The sequence below is a fragment of the Homo sapiens genome, chromosome 17, assembly GCF_000001405.40.
Source record: "Homo sapiens chromosome 17, GRCh38.p14 Primary Assembly".
Lineage (NCBI taxonomy): Eukaryota > Metazoa > Chordata > Mammalia > Primates > Hominidae > Homo > Homo sapiens.
The window spans coordinates 47,197,531-47,214,037 of record NC_000017.11 but is presented as its reverse complement, the minus strand read 5'-3'; the positions used below and the strand labels follow the sequence as shown (position 1 = coordinate 47,214,037).

General features: G+C 44.9%; 1 protein-coding gene across 7 annotated transcripts in view, besides 6 other annotated features; it reads right to left on the bottom strand.

Annotated features, from left to right (window-relative positions):
- MYL4 (myosin light chain 4) overlaps positions 1-16,507 on the bottom strand; it is a 38,218-nt gene that overhangs the window by 13,613 nt on the left and 8,098 nt on the right. Inside the window, exons 1-3 of one of the 7 annotated variants that reach the window (XM_011524839.3) lie at positions 4,883-5,010; positions 4,481-4,649; positions 119-239 (exon numbers count right to left, since the gene is read on the bottom strand). In XM_011524839.3, the coding sequence (XP_011523141.2) occupies positions 119-239; positions 4,481-4,615 (256 nt within the window). In that variant the 5' untranslated portion in view covers positions 4,616-4,649; positions 4,883-5,010. Of the gene's footprint in view, positions 1-118; positions 240-4,480; positions 4,691-4,882; positions 5,011-16,507 lie in introns of those variants that run through there. The other 6 variants (NM_001002841.2, XM_017024683.2, XM_005257391.6 and 3 more) reach the window with 6 other exon arrangements.
- Positions 8,387-8,486: an enhancer, noted in NCBI's record as "active region_12304". NCBI's record gives its function as "activates an Ori minimal core promoter by ATAC-STARR-seq in GM12878 lymphoblastoid cells {active_cell/tissue: GM12878}" and the evidence as "EXISTENCE:reporter gene assay evidence [ECO:0000049][PMID:35858748]".
- Positions 9,277-9,326: an enhancer, noted in NCBI's record as "active region_12303". NCBI's record gives its function as "activates an Ori minimal core promoter by ATAC-STARR-seq in GM12878 lymphoblastoid cells {active_cell/tissue: GM12878}" and the evidence as "EXISTENCE:reporter gene assay evidence [ECO:0000049][PMID:35858748]".
- Positions 9,337-9,426: an enhancer, noted in NCBI's record as "active region_12302". NCBI's record gives its function as "activates an Ori minimal core promoter by ATAC-STARR-seq in GM12878 lymphoblastoid cells {active_cell/tissue: GM12878}" and the evidence as "EXISTENCE:reporter gene assay evidence [ECO:0000049][PMID:35858748]".
- Positions 9,607-9,656: an enhancer, noted in NCBI's record as "active region_12301". NCBI's record gives its function as "activates an Ori minimal core promoter by ATAC-STARR-seq in GM12878 lymphoblastoid cells {active_cell/tissue: GM12878}" and the evidence as "EXISTENCE:reporter gene assay evidence [ECO:0000049][PMID:35858748]".
- Positions 13,578-13,627: an enhancer, noted in NCBI's record as "active region_12300". NCBI's record gives its function as "activates an Ori minimal core promoter by ATAC-STARR-seq in GM12878 lymphoblastoid cells {active_cell/tissue: GM12878}" and the evidence as "EXISTENCE:reporter gene assay evidence [ECO:0000049][PMID:35858748]".
- Positions 15,845-16,268: a transcriptional cis regulatory region, noted in NCBI's record as "candidate enhancer chr17.3215 targeted for multiplex CRISPR interference". NCBI's record gives its function as "positively regulates MYL4 gene expression in K562 cells {active_cell/tissue: K562}" and the evidence as "EXISTENCE:mutant phenotype evidence [ECO:0000015][PMID:30612741]".

Here is a 16,507-nt window from a genome sequence, read left to right as displayed (position 1 = left end):
CATGGTGTTGTTATGAGAATTAAAGGAGTTAATCCATATAAAGTGCCTAGGACTATGCCTGACACATGGTAGATGCTCAATATAGGTTTGCTATGATGATGACAGTGATTACTATTACCATGAGGACAACTACTCCTCCTCTTCTTCCTCCTCCTCCTCCTCCTCCAGGAAAGTGCAATAGAGACGGAGAGGTGGGGTTGTCCATACTCACCTTCAATCTGGTCGGCAGTGAAGTCTATCTGTAGGGAGGGAAATAGTAGTGAGGGCTTGGATTGCTAAAAGCAGTTGTAAAGGCCCCCCAAAGGGAAGTAGAAGCAGAAGTGGCTTCCAATGCAGTATGGCCACCTCCAGCAGGCCACTGATAAGCAGGGAAGGTGACTTGTGCTAAGGGTAAAACACAAGTCTCCTGATGAATGAGCCACAACTGACAGGCTATAAAATACCGTCGGCCCTCCTCCCCAGGTTCAACCAACTCTGGATTGAAAATATTCAGAAAACAATAAATAACCACACGAAAATAAAATATAATACAAAAAATACATAACAACTATCACATAGTATTCACATTGTACTAGGTATTATAAGTAACCTAGAGATGATTTAAATTATACAGGAGGTTGTGTGTAGATTATATGCAAATATGCAAACTTTATATAGGAGACTTGAGCATCCTCAGATTTTGGTATCCGTGGGGGTCCTGGAACTAATCCCCTACAGATAACGAGGGACAACTGTAATGCAGACTCCAAAGCTCTCTCAATACCGCTTATTAAGTGATGGCTCCAGGTAAGAGCGAAAGGGAAAGAAAAATTCCCTGGATAATTCTAGAACGTACACGGACTGCCTATTGTAATGCCTCCGGGTCTGAGGTAAATTCTTCATCCTAGCCACCCACAAACTGCCCTCACTGTTGCCCCTTCAATCTCTTCCTAGTCCATAGTCCTCTGACAAGCTGCACTTCTGCCCTCTTTGGGCACCACCACTCCCCACACTCGGACTGCTCTTTCTATTTGATTCTGATTTTAAATCCACTCCCTTCAATGAAGGCTTCCCACACCGCATCCCACTCCAACCCCTCCTTCAGCACATATCCCTCGTTAAGTACAATTTATAAGAGGCCGTTGGTTTGTACTGAGCTCCTACACTAGGACCAACAGACCAAACCAAAATAGATTCACTCATGCTGAAGTTCCATGTCACCAAGCTGAAACTAAGTTGTTCATCTGATTTTCCAAGAAATCAGGAAAATAAGAGATAATAGCCAAATCCCCAAACATGACAGTTTCAGCCAGCTTGATAAGAAAGTGCCATCTGCTTTAACCTTTACAAGAAAAGTAACTTTGCAATGAACAATTTGCATTTTGCTCTCATTTCTGCTTACCTCAGCCTTTCTTTGTCTATAATACCACCTCCTCTGCTCGGCTCATTGTTGCCAGATTCTAGACTCAAACATAAAAGCCAATTCAGATCTTTAAACTAAAATGCCTTCTAATTTTGTCTTCTGACACACTCTTAGGCACTCTGGGACAGCAAGAGCAATTGGCATGGGCCCTCCACGCTTCCTAATTGTTTCCAGTCATGCCTTTACGTGCACTCTGTCTCCTTGAAGCCACTGCTCCCTCAGGCAAGGATTCTTGTTATTGTTCACTGAAATGCTCAGTACATAGTAGGCACTGAAAAACATTTGTTGAATGAAGTAATACATTTTAGATTTCCCCCATATAATGCATAGTAATTTAATGCTGAGTACAGAAGAGGAGAGTGAATGACAATGGCCAAGCATAAGTCATCATTTTATTTTATTTTTTATTCTTATTTTTTGAGATGGAGTTTCGCACTTGTCACCCAGGCTGGAGTGCAATGGTGTGATCTTGGCTCACTGCGACCTTCGCCTCCCAAGTTCAAGCGATTCTTCTGCCTCAGTAGCTGAGATTACAGGCACCCGCCATAACGCCCAGCTAATTTTTGTATTTTTAGTAGAGACAGGGTTTCACCATGTTGGCTAGGCTGGCCTCGAACTCCTGACCTCAGGTGATCCACCTGCCTCGACCTCCCAAAGTGCTGAGATTACAGGCGTGAGCCACCACACCCAGCCCAAGTCATCATTTTGATTTAAGATCTTGTATGTTACCTCGTGGTCCTTATGCACCCCACCCCACCCCATCCCATCCCATCCCCTCTCCACTGGTGGTGGTTCCAATCCTGGAGCCTCTTCTTCAAGTGCCGTCATTCCTAGTCCTAATTCTGCTGCTGCTTGTGCTGTGCCCATCCTGTCTCATCTCCGAGAACTGACCTCCATTCATGAGGACCCAGATATGGCAGCCATGAGCTGGGGATAGGTTGGGGCAGTGGGGAGTTAACTGGGTTGGAAAGAAAACTAGTTGTGGCTAGGAATAGACTGCCAAAAGTAGGGGGTGGTCAGAAAGTTAAAGGAACCCCCTAGATGGGGTGAAGGATGCTCTGCATTCACTCTCTGAGGAAAAGGCACAGTTTGCCTTACTTTACAATGCTTTAAGAACCAGGAATAAACATGTAAGAGCAATTAATGTAAAAACTTAAAATCTCAATAGACGTGGTCCTAACTACACACACTGGGCTTAAGTTTGCTTCTGTTCTATCTTCGAATCTTTTTTATAATTTATTTATTTATTTGTAGAGACAAGGATCTTGCCATGTTGCCCAGGCTGGACTCAAATGCCTGGCCTCAAATTACCCTCCCGCCTCAGCCTCCCAAAGGGCTGGGATTATAAACATGAATCACCTCATCTGGCTTCTCTTCTGTCTTGGAGTAAAGAACCTTCTAATCAAAGGAACTGGGTAAGTATAACACAATAATAGGGAAAATGTCTCTCATAAAAGATACCTATTTTTTTTCTACTTCAAAGCAACTTCAACAACCCCCATGAAGATGCAGATATGGAAAAGAGGATTGCAACCAGGGGTGCAATTTCTCACGGGTGAGAAATTGAGAGAGGAGAGTGAATGAAAGAAGTGACAGGCCAAGGGAAGGACACCAGTTTGATGCCACTAGGCAGCTGTTGCCCAGACACCAGGGACAAGGCCTGGCAACCCACCCAAAGGCACAGTGCTTTATGGGAACAAATCAGAAATAAAGGCGAGGAGGGATCCTGAAGGGTGAAATAGTCAGCTTTTCCTGCCAGGCTCAGCTTGTAAATGGAGTGATGTATGACCTAGAAAACCTGCAGGTGTTTTCAGGGTCCTACAGTAGCCTCAGTTTCCCCAGAGTGAGCCATAACCAAGCTCAGAAAAGGGACAATTGCCTCCATCTCTTGGCTAAGCAGTTCCTGTCCCTTGCGGGGACTGGGTCTTTGGCATAATACTTGTAGGGTTATCCCGGCTGTGGGTATGAGAGGAATTCTCAGAGGGCAGGGAGGTCATACAATTAGAGCTCTGGGTTTTAATTTCCCTGCCTGCTTGTCACAGAACCTTGTCCTGTGCTCTTATTTTGACCTGATCCCTCACCACCCCCAGCCCTGTCCTAAGGCTGAGATCCCTGGGGGCTCAGCACTCCCAACCTGTTATTAATAGCTCTTCATACCAGTAGCCACTTGACCTTTTCCACTCTGGTGCCAAGGCTTAAAACTGCTCCTCTTCAGAGGTCTCTGGCCCCCTCCCTCTTCAGCCCACCCCTCTCCCACCAGTTCCATTCCTTCAGCAGCTGGGCCAGAGAGCTGGGAGGTCTAAAATGACTGAGTCAGCATGCAGGGCCCACACCAGCTCCAGGGAGAGGAATGTTTTGTGTGAGGAGAGCAGGGTGGGGCAAAGGAACCAGGCCCAGCTTCCTGACCCGGTTGGAGAGAGGGTCTCAGCCCAGGGTGGGCCAGTCCTCTGCATGCTACAGATAGGAACCCAGGCTAAGGCCACAGAAGGAAAGGCCCGTCTGGGTAAGGAAAGAGAGAGAGGAATCCGGGCTCCTCTTACCTTAACCACAACCTCCTTCCCACCCTGCCCTCACCTGCCGTAAGAGTGTTTGTGAGTGAAGCCTTTCCCAAACTGCCATGCACAGGGAGGATATTCCCTGACTGTTTATATCACTTACTCCAAGTTACACTGGCAGCTGCCATGATCTGTCTGTTCTCCATAAAGATATCCCACTACCTCCTAGGAAAAGGCTAGTCTGTTTTACTTTGCTATGGTGGTCCTCATAATGCCTTATAAAAGGGTGGATGGATGGTTGGTTGTACCTCCCCCCATTCCCAACTTAGCTGCACAAATCTAGGGTAGCAGGACAGGGCTCCCTCAAAGCAGCACCTCATTCTTGACGGAAAAGGTTTATGACTCAATCTCCCCCTCATCAGCCCCAACACCCACTCCACTGCCCCATGGGACTGCGATCTGGGGCATGGACACCCTAGTCCTCATCCCAGTCCAGCCCACATAAAGTAGATCGCTAAGCTCCAGAGCAAAAGGACTCTCAATGTCATCCCCACCTCTATCCCAATGGCTGAGCCTCACTTACCTTTACACTCTTGGGGTCAAAGGCAGGTTCCTTGGGAGCCTCAGGAGCTGGGGCAGGGGCTGGTGCAGGGGCTGGAGCTGGAGCTGGAGCTGGCTTGGCTGCCTCCTTCTTAGGCTCAGGCTTCTTGGGAGCCATGTTGTCTTGTTGGGATCTTTGGCAGAGGAGTGATCTAAGAAGAAACCGAGAGACGTGGCGTCTGGGAGATGAGATAGGAGCCTGGGCTGCCTCCCTTCCCTTTTATCCTGGGCAGGAGCCCCCACAGAGGGGCTGGGTGAAAGCAAGAGCAACTGCTGCTGACTATAAAAGGAAGAAACGCCAGCAGGGTACAGCTGACAACTGTGTATTGTCACCAGGTTTGGGGCCACCAGCCCCCTCCCCTTCATGCCACAGCTCTCTCTTCACCTCTAGGACAGGCTGATCCCTTCTTGCCAATTGGTGGAAACCCAGAAGGACCAGGGAAACAGACCTTCTCAAATATGCCGGAGCAGCCAGAGAGATGAGCTGACTTGAGCAGTTGATAAGCCTCACACAAAGCCCAGGGGAGGGTGAGGCTTTTTTTAGCCCCTCCCGAGCAGAGGCAGCCCACTGCACATTCCTTCTAAGCCAAGATCCTTTAAGCTGAGAGCCACTCTGGGCCCTCAGCTCTGCCTAGAGGCCCAACTCTCCAGGCATGGAGCTCTGAAGCAACAGCTGGTCCAGCCAACCCACACTGCCCCACACCCTCCCAACTCACAGGATGAAAGCCTCCATTTTCCAGAGCAGGCATCCCAGGAACTCCACAGACCTCAGATCCCTAGATCTACCCCCTTACACACAACCTCAGTCATTCATTCAACAAGTAGTGAGCACTGAACCCATGCCTAGGCACCTAGGAGAGAAGCAGAGAGATGTGGTAGAAAGTCGAGGAGACTGAGGGTCAGAAAACTTGGGGTTTAGTTTTCACTTTACCTCTAACTCATTCTGTGCTCTGTGTGTGTGTGTGTGTGTGTGTGTGTGTGTGTGTGTGTAGTGCTTACTACTATCAGTACCAGGAACTGTTAAGTGCTATTCATATAAAATCTCATTAAATCTTCACCATGATCCTATAAGGTAGATACTATTTTGTTTGTTTGTTTGTTTTAACAGAAACAAGGTATCGCTCTGTTGCTCAGGTTGCAGTGCAGTGGTGCAATCACAGCTCACTGCAGCCTCGTCTTTCCTGGCTCAAGCGATTCTCCCACCTCAGCCTTCCGAGTAGCTGGGACTACAGGTGCACACCAGCACACTTGGCTAATTTTGGGGGAGTTTTTTTGTTTTTTGTTTTTCAGTAGAGATGAGGTCTTGCTAAATTGCCCAGGTTGGTCTTGAACTCCTGAGCTCAAGGGATCCACTAGCCTCGGTCTTCCAAAGGGCTGGGATTATAGGCATAAGCCGCCACGCCAGGCCAGGTAGATACTATTATTATTTTCACTTTACACATGGGGAGATTGAGACTAAAACTGGATGAACAACTTGGCCAAGGTCACTCAAATAATTAGCTATAAGCTGGGATTAGATGTAGATATGTCTGAGTCTAAAGCCTATGCTTGAATAATGTATATGATAATCCAGTTGTCGGGGAGAGACATACAAGTTTCTGCATTTATTGGAGGAGTCAGGATGGATACACGCTGAACTGTTAACAGAGACACCTCTGGGGACCTAGGGGGTAAGGGTGGGAGGATAACAGCAATTTGCAGTTTTTTACTTTTTTCACTTCCTGTATTAATGGAAATTTTTATAACGAGCATTTACTGTTTATGTAAAAAAAACTTTGAAAGTCAACAAAATAATTCAGAAAAATAACAACAAAAAAGCTTATGTATCCACTACACAAAACTGCTTTGTGCTGAATCTTTAGACTCTACAGTTCAGAGGAAAAGAGGAATAAAGCTGAGAGAGGCAAAAAAATCACTTCGCCTTTCTAGGCCCAGTTTCCTCACCTGTAAAGCAAGATTGCTAGACTACAGAATCCTGGTTGCTGTTAGCTCCTAAGCCTGCAATTCTGGGTGCCCTGGAGCCCACATCTGCCCATTTCCCAGCTCTCTAACTACAGGTTCCATGCCCCAGATCATTGCCTTCAGAGCCAGAAGGACCCTTAGAGATCATCTGGCCCCATGCTGTTTTACAGGCAAGGAATCTAAGGTCCAGGGAAACGTTGAAGTTGCCTCAAGACATTCAGCTACTTATAGGCAGAGCTGGGCCAACTAATTCTGTTTCCTGGGGTGCAGTGCTCTCTGTAGCACACTGCTCTTCACTGCTCCTCCTGTAGCCTATACACGCTCACTGGTGGTGACAGAGAAGCCCTCAAAGGAAACGGGCAGGAAAAAGGGCCAGGACTTGCTCAAGGGAATACTAGAACGAGACCAGGGCCCAGATTCTAGCCCAGCCCTGGTCCTGAGCTGGGATGGTGGCTCCTTTGCTCTGTGCACCTCACCTCCTCCCCTCATCTTCTGCCTCACCTCTCTTCCTTGCCGGCTACCAAACTTGATTCCTTGTACCTTCGCTCGCACTCTTCTATAATCCCTGTCAGTCCTCTCCTTGACCTACCCCATTCCCCACAGGGGTTGGGAGTTCAGGTTGTTGGTGACGAGGAAAGAGAAAAAGTGGAAGCCCAGGCCCTCCTCCTTCTCCACCTCCACCTGCATCCCTTCCTGGACTGCATCCTGCGGAGTTTGTGCAAAAATATACAAACTGGGATTTCTGTAAAGAGCTGCAGGATAGAAGCTGGGAGACCCAGGCACTAGTCCTGACTCTGCCAGCCACTTCCTCTCTCTGGGCCTCAGCTTGCTTATTTTAAAAGGAAAAACAATCAGGAGACTTTCAAACCATGTTCAACAGAATCCTGAGACTAGCAATCTTGCTATCTTGCTTTATAGGGTGACATGCTTCTGGCTGCAGGGTACATAGAAAGGCCAGACCTTGGAGCTCCTTCCACCACCATCACTTCAGTCACCACCACTCCTGTGTTTTACATACTGGAGCTCCCAGTATGTAAAACAGTATCATTTTCTAATGGTTCCATGGCTTAAAATTTTTTTAAATAATCACTGAATGACACATGCCCCCTTCCAGTTAAAACACACACGCACACACAACAAGTTAGTATTATGTTATTGTTGTAGTTATTCTACAAAGACGTATGATCCTCAGAAGAAAAAGCTGGAAGGTTGTTCTTTCCTTTTCTTCTTTTCCTTTTTTCCCCCACCCCACTCCCCTTTCTTTTCTAAATTCTAAGAAGCAAAATATCAGGTCTGCATGGGAACAGAGCTATGAGGTTAGAAAGCTGGGAAAGCCGAATGGGGCTCCGGAGACATCCAAAATCACGCAAATACTGTGGACTCTGGAGGTAGACAGTGATGGGTCTGAAGCCTGGTTTTGCCACTTTCTAATCTAGGCCTTAGTAGCCTCAGGACCTTTGAGGATAAACATTTCCTTTTCAAATTGTCATGAGATTTGTATGAAATAATGTTAAGTAAGGCACTGCAAACAACCTCTGCCATGTAGGAAACATTCGAAGATGTTCATTTCACTTTCCTTTGCCAAGCAGGTTGAAGCTAGAGGTGCATTCAGGCTTCCCAGATTTGGAACTTCCAGAGAGAGGTCCACATGAGAAAGGGACAAGGTAAGGTGACAGTGGCTAAAGGGATTTTAAGGTGTGGGATTAGGAATGAGGAAGAGGTGGAAAGGAATGGAAGCGGGGGGAAGGGCAGCAGCTGGGAACTCATGGTGTAAAATATTTGTGGCTCAGAAAGCATGTGGCAAGTCTCTAGGGCCAGGCAGCCTGTCTGACGGAGAACACTCAGAGAAGGCATGCCCAACCACCTGAAACCTTAGGCACAGGAGCCCCAGCAGGGGAGGAGACGCTCCTCAAATCAGTTTCGGATTCGTTTTCAGCAGCCCCAGTGAAAAAAGTGCCTGGCACTTCAGAAACAACTGGAGGAGAGCTGTGGTTTCAGGGAAAGAGCCATGCATGAAGAAGCAACATATCAACCCCTGGCCTTGTTTTTACTAAAATTCATGACGCCACGCTTCATTAGAGCCCAGTAACTGGAGTCCGAGCTTCCATCGTCTTATGGTCTTCATTCTGTTTCATGGCCAGTAACTTTCACCTTCAAATCTTACCAATCGAGAGCATCCTTCCCAGGGCCTATGACACAGACTTGCCCTACAATATGTGTTGGCCCATCAGAGCCAAGGAAAGAAGGAGATGTAGTAGTGTGAAGAGGCAAGTATGGCAGTGGGTACTGGCAGCCAAACAACTTTCTCTGGGAAGCATCTGGTGGTTTCTGAGCCAGAGTTGCTGAGGCTCACCCAAATGCTCCCATGAGGGACTTCCAATTCAGCAGATTGAAAACACAAGACAGAATTTAGCACCAACCGGTTTACATCAGATGTCAAATTCGGACACAAATGCACAAAGGAGAAGTGACATCAGCCCTCATTTGGGCTGAGCTCGCAAACACTCACTCCTCCTCCTCCCTTCATCTCTAACCACACAGAGCCTGTCTGTGTCCTGCTCAGAGAGGTCCATTAGAGTCTCCTGCCTGGGATCAAATGCTGCTGACAGCTAGCCTGGCTGTTAATGCCTTGTTCCTGTCACCCTCTCTCTCTCTTCTCTGACCAATGTCTCATAAGCCTGGACATCACAGGGCAATGCCCTGGCCAACACTTTGTCAATCGTCCCCATAGAGAGTACTGGGTAATTTGGGTTTCACTGCAAGGCAGAGGTTAAGAAGGCTGACTCATGAATCAGACTGCCTGGTTTAGAGTCCTGGCTTAGTTAGTTAACTTTTTTTTTTTTTTTTCGAGACAGGGTCTCACTTTGTCACTCAGGCTGGAGTGCAGTGGTGAAACATAGTTCATTGCAGCCTCCATTTCCCTGGTTCAAGTGATTCTCCCGCCTCAGTCTCCCAAGTAGCTGGGACTACAGGTGCACCCTACCACACCTGGCTACTTTTTAACTTCTTCATGCCTCAGTTTTCTCATCTGTAAAATGTGGCTGTTATAACTACAAGGTAGTTGTGAAGATTAAATGAGTTAATACAGGTGGCACATGTAGAATAAAGTGTCTAGCACAAAGCAACTACTCAAGATCTTTAAGCTTGGATCCTGATGGAACTACTGTGACCATGGCTCCCTATCCCAAGATCACCCGCAGAAGAGTTACAAAGAGAAAATATCAAGAAATGAAGAAAAACTCGAGAAACCCCTTGGGTGAAGGAGAGGACCTTGTTTTGAATTGGTGTGTGTGGTAGAAGGGTGGCTTTGATTAGAGGCAGGAAGTGGCCAGGCACAGCTGTGGAATGATTAAAAAAAGAAAAGGAGCTCTCAGGGTTCTGATCTCCCTTTTCCTCCACCACTGTCTTATGACAAACGGTGCTACTCCCTCACTCGCCATGACTCAAACTGTGGTCCGGGTGTTGGTAAGAGTAACAGCAAAGCACTGGAGATGCACTGTGCTTGTGATCAAAACAGGTAAGGGGGCAACCCAACTTTAGACAAATGTTCCCCCTCCTTAGCCCTCTAAATTTCCAGGGCATGTGAACTATACTCTAAGAAGTGTTTTGGCCACAGACACGGTGGCTCATGCCTGTACTCCTAAGGCTGCTTTTCCCTGATGGGAGGGCAAAGGGTGAAGCCCTGACATGGAGAGTTATTTTATGAGTCTGAGCATGACACACTTGGGAGTTTGGGAGCCAAGCATTCTCGGTTTTAGGGCTCATTCACCCCCAGCCTTCAACCTCTAAGCTCAATGGCACTAGTATGCATTGTTGGACAGAACAACCTGTATGGCCAAGGACAAAATAACAAGACACCTGAATAGCACAACTCATCCGAAAGGATACAACTTACTTGATTACACAGTGTAACTTAAGTGGAAATATGACAACAGATGGACCAAGATTTTAAAAGTAGCCCAAAAATCATGCTAAAAGAGATAAACGAAAATATTACTAATATGACACCAGGACAAGAAAATGTAAAGAACAAACAGAATATCAACTATAAAAAGTATAATAGATGAAATAAGAAAAAATATTTTTAAAAAACAAGCAGATATCTTATGTATGAAAAAGTAATCACCAAAATAGAGCACATAATAGATTTGAAAAGTGGCAGAATAGATATAGCTGGGAAACAAATTAGGGAATTGAAAAACAAGAAAGACTATCTCCCAGAAGAAAAAAGAGGGCAAAGAAATAGAAAACATAAAAGAAAAGCTAAGAGATATGGAGGATAGTACGTTTACATTTAATTGACAATTTAAAAAAAGGGATATGAAAGATAGAAGTCGAAATGTTTTAGCCCAGTATTCCCAGCACTTTGGGAGGCTGAGGCAGGCAGATCACTTGAGGTCAGGAGTTCAAGACCAGCCTGGCCAACATGGTGAAACCCTGTCTCTACTAAAAATACAAAAATCAGCTGGGCATGGCAGTGCATGCCTGTAATTCCAGATACTCAGGAGGCTGAGACAAGAGAATTGCTTGAACTAGGGAAGCAGGGCTGCAGTGAGCCGAGATTGTACCACTGCACTCCAGCCTGGGCAACAGAATGAGACTCTGTCTATAAGTAAATAAATAAATAAATAAATAAATTTAAGCTTCAAGGAAAGAAAACATCTCTGACTTATCTAGATAGGTGAAGGAATTTATGCTCAAATTGAAACCTTTCACAATACAAATCAATATACATTATTTCAATGTAAGTATGCAGAAGATTCTAATTGTAATAAACAGTATTATGTAAATTGGCTACAAAAACAAGAAAAGTTTAAATAATGCTTTGTTGATATTAATAAATTTAGAGTTGCTTTTGTTGATATTAATAAATTTAGAGTTGCTTTTTCAATTTATACAATACCTCTTTGAATTTCGTGTTAATGATACTGAGTTGACAGAAGAGTTAGTGAATTTACTTAATTTGGACAGATGTAGTTTTAAAACTGATATGTTTTTGCTTCAAAGTCAAGTCAATTCTGCTAAAATAAATATGACTAATATGACTAATATGAAGTAGTTTTGTCAGTTTGCATGTAAACATTAAAGAAAAATACTTTTTTGATATTTGATTATTAGAAAACTTTTAAGTATGCTTGGGACAACTTAGGTATATGAATCTACTTTTTCGACTGTGCATTTTATGAAATCTAAATACAGATTAAGTGTTTATAATGAAAATTTACCATCCAAATTGAGATATGCTATAACAGTAAAATACATACTGGATTTTGAAGTACAAAAAAAGAATGTGGGCCTGGCACAGTGGCTCATGCCTGTAATCCCAACACTTTGGGAGGCCAAGGCAGGTGGATCACTTCAGGTCAGGAGTTTGAGACCAGCCTGGCCAACATGGTGAAACCCCTTCTCTACTAAAAATACAAAAATTAGTTGGGCGTGGTGGCACGTGCCTGTAATCCCAGCTACTCGGGAGGCTGAGGCAGGAGAATCACTTGAATGCCGGAGGTGGAGATTGCAGTGAGCCGAGATCGAGCCACTGCACTCCAGCCTGGGCGACAGAATGAGACTCCATCTCAAAAAAGAAGACAAAGAAGAATGTAACATATCTCATATTGATTACATGTTGAAATGATAACATTTTGGGTGTATTGAGCTAAATATTATTAAAATTTTTAATAATACACACATACTAGAAGCATTACCCATTATCCAAGAACACATACAAACAAAAAAATACACATTAAAAGTATTCAATAATTGCCTAGAGTGGGTGTGGTTTGGATGGCTGGGTCAATGAGATAAAAGAAAATAAATAAGTAATCCGGCCAGGTGCAGTGGCTCACGCCTATAATCCTGGCACTTTGGGAGGCCGAGGCGGGCGGATCACCTGAGGTCAGGAGTTTGAGACCAGCCTGACCAACATGGAGAAACCTCGTCTCTACTAAAAATACAAAATTAGCCAGGTGCTGTGGCTCATGCCTGTAATCTCAGCTACTTGGGAGACTGAGGCATGAGAATCACTTGAACCTGGGAGAGGCGGAGGTTGCAGTGAGCAGATCGTGCCATTGCACTGCAGCCTGGGCAACAAGAGCAAAACTCCGCCTCAAAAAAGAAAAAAAAAAAAGAAAAGAAATAAGTAATTAAACAAGAAAGGCGTTGCATGGACCACTGAAGAAAGAAGGCCATAAATCAGGAGAATGATTAACCCAATCCTCTGTATATAAGAATCCTTCCCACCAAGGAGGGAGGAAAAAAAAAGCAATGAATCACCTGAAGGCTCAATAATTCATAAGGCCCAGAACACCAAAAATGAAAGCAGAAAAGGAGGGGAAAGGTGTCTAAAATCAAAGTTCAAGGACCACAGTAAAACTAGCTATCACAACACTTTATTTTTTACTTATTTATTTTTTGAGACGGAGTCTCACTCTGTCACCCAGGCTGGAGTGCAGTGGCTCGATCTCTTACTGCAACCTCTGCCTCCCTAGTTCAAGCGATTCTTCTGCCTCAGCCTCCTCAGTAGCTGGGATTACAGGTGCCCGCCACCATGCCCAGCTAATTTTTGTATTTTTAGTAGAGACAGGGTTTCACCATGTTGGCCAGGATGGTCTCAAACTCCTGACCTCAAGTGATCCACCTGCCTTGGCCTCCCAAAGTGCTGGGATTACAGGAATGAGCCATAGCGCCCAGCCAACACTTTAAATCATCCTCTCAAACTTCATTTCCTTGACTGCTTTAGCATAGGTGGAGAATGCTATATGTTCAGCCTCATCACTCAATTGTTTAAATGGTTGAAGCTCATTTCTGTACTGCAGTCAAGGCAGTGCTGTCTAGTGACATATGTGTGAACTGAATCCTGTGAGAAGGACACTGGGAGGGAGCCTGCCTAAGGTGGGTTAGAGTCTACCTAGGGATCTAAAGCAGAGGGCAGGATAGCTGGTGTTTGGCAGAGATTTATAGTTGCAAAGCAGCAGAGAGCAAGTTGGAATCCTCACCAGTCATCCAAACTGCATCATCCCAGATATGCTAACAGCTACAAGGAACTTCAGAGGTCCAGAGAGAAGGGGGTGACTTGCCCAACGTCACACTGAGTTATGACCGACCTGAGACTAGAATGCAGGATGCTAAGACAACCATGGGAGCTGGCAGAACTGACAAAAGGGTTCTCTGACGGAGAAGCTTAGCCCCCAAGGGGGCAAGGAAGCAAGGAGACATCAGTAGAAGAGACGGCCCTGGAACCCACAGCATGGGTATCTCTCAGTAAGCAAAAAGAGCCTAAATCCTTTCTCAGCAATTGGGGATATATTTTTAATGCTAAAGATTATTCTTTCTTCTCAGTTTCCCTTTCCACTGACTTCCTCTTTTACTTCTTGAATTCTGACTTCCTCTCTAGCACACCACCAGTGACTTCCCTGTGACTAGATCTAGTGTGCTTGTCTTGGGCCTTCTCTGCTATGCTTGTAACACCAAAATTCTGCCACCAACTCTCCTCTCCCTCATTCAGATTACTCTCATTCATTCATTCAACTAACACTTATTGAGGCCAGGCGTGGTGGCTCACATCTATAATTCCAGCACTTTGGGAGGCCAAGGCAGGTGGATCGCTTGAGCCCAGGAATTCGAGACCTGCCTGGGTAACATGGCGAAACCCTGTCTCTACAAAAAAAAACCCACAAAAATTAGCCAGGTATGGTGGCACATGCCTGTAGTCCCAGCTACTCCAGAGGCTGAGGTGGGAGGATCGGTTGAACCCAGGAAGCAGAGGTTGCAGTGAGCTGAGATGGCGCCACTGCTTTACAGCGCGAGTGACAGAGACCCTGTCTCAAAAAAAAAAAAAAAAAAAAGACTTTACTACAACTAACATGTATTGAGCACCTACAATATGCAGGTACTTTTTTTTTTTTTTTGAGACAGGGTCTCCAAGAAGCTGGGATTACAGGTACACATTTGTTAATGTAATGCCTTGTAAAATCTTTGTGAAACTATTTATCATTATATTAAAACTACGTATTTGTATGTCTGCATCCTCTACACCAGACAGTGAGCTCCTTGGGGCCAGGAATGGTCTCTTATTCATCTTAGTAGAAGTACCTGCAGGCTGGGCACAGTGGCTCATGCCTATAATCCCAGTACTTTGGGAGGCCAAGGCGGGAGGATCGTACAACTGAAAGAAGGTGCGCAACTAAAAGATGCTTTTAGTTCTGCCTGAAAACTCTCTCTCCAGTCCCAAATTCTTTCCTTGTTTGTTTATTTGTTTTTCTGGGGTTTTTTTTTTTTTTGAGACAAAGTCTTGCTCTATCTCTCCAGCTGGAATACAGTGGTATAATTTTTTTTTTTTTTTGAGACAGAGTCTTGCTCTGTTGCCCAGGCTGGAGTGCAGTGGCACAATCTTGGCTCATTGCAAGGTCCACTTCTGGGGGTCACACCATTCTCCTGCCTCAGCCTCCCAAGTAGCTGGGACTACAGGCGCCCGCCACCACGCCCGGCTAAATTTGTATTTTTTTTTTTTTTAGTAAAGACGGGGTTTCACCTTGTTAGCCAGGATGGTGTTGATCTCCCAACCTCGTGATCCGCCTGCCTCGGCCTCCCAAAGTGCTGGGATTACAGGTGAGAGCCACCATGCCTGGCCATACAGTGCTATAATTTTAACTCACTGCAACTTCGAACTTCTAGGCTCAAGAGATCCTCCCACCTCAGCCTCCCAAGTAGCTAAGACTAGAGGCATACACAACCATGCCTGGCTAGTTTTTTTTATTTTTTTTGTAGAAATGAGGGTCTCTCTTTGTTGCCCAGGGTGTTCTCGAACTCCTGGCCTCGAGTGATCCTCCTGAACTTCCAAAGTGCTGGGATCACAGGCGTGAGCTACTGCGCCTGGCCAAGCTTCACGTTTTCAATTAACCTTTGGATATTTCTCATCTGAGGCTCTCCCAACTCAGTCTGGTTTAAACCTAGATCAGCCTCTATCTCCCAAATCACATATCTGTAACAAAAACAAAGTCTATTCAAGACAGCTACGGTGTAAACTGAATACTAAAATATAATCAATCTGTGTTTAATCCATTGCTCTGCAATTTACCCAGAGAAAAAATGAGGCTGCTTAGAGCCTAGTTAGAAAAGAGAGAAGCAAATAATCTATTATTTGGTGGGCATCCACTCCAGATGCTATAGATATTTTTTATCTAGTAGTCAGGTATATACGTCACTTCTGAGGAAAAAAAGAGATGACAGCCACTAAGATCATTAAATTTACTCTTTTTGTTCTAAGTCTGTACTCAGTAAGCAGTCTTCTGGTTAGAATCTGAATGCCTTCAGGTCAAGGAATTGGATAAGAATATTTCTCATTTTAAGTTAGTAACTCAAAACTGTTTAAATTTTCTATCTTTTTTCAGATTCAACCATCTAAGATCCTAGAATAGTGAATATTCAGAGTTGCCCAGACTCCCTGGCAGCCTCTCTGCTGCATTCCTAGCCCCTAGTCTTTCTCTCCTCCAATGCACATAATCCTCAGCTGTTAGCATAATCTTTTTCAAATTCTGGTCTCATGAGGTCACTCTCCAGCTCAATCATCATCAACAGCTCCTTTGGTCTATTTTATCAAAACTAAAGTCATCAGCCAGGAACCCAAAGGTTTTTATCAGCTGTCCCCAACACCACCATTTCAACCAAGCTTATACAGCCTCCAGTCCAGACAAGCTAATTTGCTTATAGTCTCCTGCCTTTATTACAGATGCTCCCCACCATCAGTTGACAATATCAAGTCAAAAATGCATTTAATACACCTAACCTACTGAACATCATAGTTTAGCAAAGCCTACCTTAAACGTGCTTAGAACACTCACCTTAGCCTACAGTTGGGCAAAGCTATCTAACACAAATCCTATTTTATAATGAAGTGCTGAATCTCATGTATTGAATACTGTACTGAAAGTGAGACACAGAATGGTTGTATAGGTATCTGAAGTACAGTTTCTACTGACTGCACATTGCTTCTACACCATCATAAAGTCAAAAAATCATAACTTGGGGGCTGTCTGTAGTTTATTTCCCTGTG